The sequence below is a fragment of the Homo sapiens genome, chromosome 11, assembly GCF_000001405.40.
Source record: "Homo sapiens chromosome 11, GRCh38.p14 Primary Assembly".
Taxonomy (NCBI): domain Eukaryota; kingdom Metazoa; phylum Chordata; class Mammalia; order Primates; family Hominidae; genus Homo; species Homo sapiens.
This window is the reverse complement of record NC_000011.10, coordinates 113,531,021-113,533,794: the sequence shown is the minus strand read 5'-3', so window position 1 is coordinate 113,533,794 and position 2,774 is coordinate 113,531,021. Positions and strand designations below refer to the sequence as shown.

The window sequence follows — 2,774 nt, the reverse complement described above, 5'->3', positions numbered from 1 at the left end:
CTGAGGACAGGGAGACCTTGAGGAGACTGAGGAGCTTTGAGTCCTTTTAAATTAAAAATCCAAAGAGTTGGAGAGCATTTAAGTTGGAGAAGAGAGTTGACTTCAGAGGTACAGGTGGGCGCTACATGAAAGGTTCCTTCTAAGATGTGAAGGGCCACGCAGGTTCCTTTTCTCCAAAGGGCAGAGGGATGGAACTCTGACCCGCCATGCTGGCTGGTGAAGGATCACCTCTCTCAGGAGGCAGAAGGTGCACCTATGGAGGCCAGGCAGCCTCCTCCTCCCTCCTACGATCTCTTTCCCCTGGCAGGAGGCCAAGACAGCCATCTCCAAGGTGTTTTCCAAGCCAATTCCCTGTGCTTCATGGAAAAGAGCAGCAGCCTGCATGTGTGTATTTCCCCAACCTAAGCTCCAACTTTGATCTTCAGGCAGCACAACATTTGTTTTTAGAAAAAAACTCATCCAGCTCAGAGGTGATGAGGGTGACAGGGCTGTAATTATCACCTGTTCCTCAGCACCTAGTGTACCGTGGGAAAGGTGCTGACAGCTCTGAACTCTCTTTGTGTGGGGAGTGAAGCCCCCAACCTCTGCTTAGAACATTTGACACAGACAGACAGCTGTGGGGCCACGTGGGGGTGGGCGTGGGGTGGGGGTGGAGGGGGCCTGTCACCTCCTCCTCCATCACCTCCTCTTCTCCCTAGGCTGTGAGAGTGGGCTGAGAGCCCTTGCACGTGTCTCCATTCTTAGACACATTTTTATAATAATCAGCTATATTTCACTTAAGAGTCTCTTCAGGGTGCCAGACCTTACAAAAAAGAAAAGGAAAGCAATGGGTATTAATTTGTGATTAACTGGACTTCATTGGGAACCAAGGGGCAGGATGGAAGAGTGACCTCCAGAGGGCGCCAGAGTGATTCCATGCTAAGCCGCGGCTAAGGAAGTCCCCAGGAATACAGTGGAAAGAGGTCGGCTGCAGTGTCAGAAAAACCCGGGCTACAAACCTGATTCTGCTTCTTCCTCAACAAGTGGCTTTGGACAGTGCACTTGACCTATTAGAGATTCAGCTTGCTGGTCTGTAAAATGAGGGTAGCAATACCCTACTTTCAAGGGTTGCTGTGAAGGCTCCATGAGATAAAGGATTCAGGATTAAATGAGATAACAAAGACCAAGAAGGGAGGGGAGATACAGAATGATTGCAAAAGATCTGTGTTACCACTGACACCTTAAGTCCGTTACCCGCACACTGAATTAAGGCCGACTGGTCATAGATGGTCAGCAGTTTTCATACGTCCATCAGTGTTCTTAGAATAAAGCTGGAAATCAGTGAACAGCCCCGTTGGCTTTTGTCATGGCATTGTTTTCAATCAACAGACGCTAAGCACTGTGGCTGCTCTTGTGAAGGGATCTGCAGATGGCTTAGACATGAAACAAGAGTCCTCAGAAGCCCCCAGGAACCCCCAGGAAGGTTGGGAACCACAGAGACAATGCAGGTAAAGCGCTTCTCTCCCCACTTTCCTGAGCCCAGAGGAGAAGAGGCCCCTTCTGACCTGGGTGGGCTCTGCTTGTTCTCCTCCAGGGCTGCCAGGAGGTCACAAGGAATGTGCCATGTGCCACCAGCAGGCCCCGACAGGTCTTACTAAGCTCCTTGAAAAGTCTGGCCCTAGTTTCCCCCTTCCTTTCCTGCAGTATCAGCTCCCAGTCAGGGACATTGCCCAGGGAGGCCTTCCTGCTCCTCAGAGTAACACGTGTCATGTGGCCTCCTTTTATGATTAGTGTTCTTCTCAACTGCCCTCTAGTAGGAGGGGTGAGAGGCAGAGGCTCAGAAACTTGCAACTGGGAACATATGTCTTTCTGGCACCAATTCTGAGAGCAACCTCACCAGAAGAAAACTCCCCTGCTTCCTCCTACTTCCACCAACTGGAAAATGAAACGTCTGCTCCAGGCGTTCCCTGGAGTTCAGCTGTGCAGCCTCTAGGCAGGGGCCCTAGAGCTACTAGCATCGGGTTCTACCACCTACTAGCCAGGGGTATTGTCACCCAAACAGCCTGAGCCACAGCCACCACTGCCCATGCCTGATTCCAGTGGCCACCCTATGGCTGCCCCTGCCTCTCTCCTGGCTTGTCTTAAGGCTGGTGTTGTATCCTCTTGCTCCTCAAAGAGTGCTTCCTAGGGCTGCAGGATCCCGTCCTTGGAGTGCTTGCTAGAAATGCAAAATCTCAGCACCCTTCCTTACGCAGACTTCCTGAATTAGAATCTGTATTTTAACATGATCCCCAAGTAATGCTCACGTACAATAAAATCTGAGAAACATGGATCTAGCTCACCTGATGGTTTCCCATCACTGCCTAACTACTTTATGATAAAAATGACTTCTGGCTACACAGCACCAGGGGCTGAGAACACGGTACCAAGAAATGGTCATGGGAATCTTTGCTAGAAGTCAGAGAAAGCCCGCTAGCATTATTGAAGCCAGGCAATTTATAGGCATGGTCAGAGTTCACTCTTACACCCTCTTTCTAAGGCAGGTGTTATCCCCGTGTCTGGAGGAACAAACTGAAGATCAAAGAGGTCTGAAATGAGCTCACCATTCCAGAGCTAGTAAGAGGGCTGTGTGGGGGACAGAGGAGAGAAAGGGATGTTGGGCAAAGGAACAGCACATGTAAAGGCACAGAGGTGTGAGACAGCATCATCAGCATCATCAACAAGAAATCCTGCATGCAGGACACTGGGCTTCACATTCATTCATTTCATTTATTCATTCCGCAGCTACTTGCCGA

At 50.1% G+C, this 2,774-nt stretch overlaps 1 annotated feature.

The window, feature by feature from the left end:
- Window positions 774-1,068: a silencer, noted in NCBI's record as "tiled region #11387; HepG2 Repressive DNase matched - State 12:CtcfO". NCBI's record gives its function as "represses a minimal TATA promoter and a strong SV40 promoter by Sharpr-MPRA in HepG2 cells {active_cell/tissue: HepG2}" and the evidence as "EXISTENCE:reporter gene assay evidence [ECO:0000049][PMID:27701403]".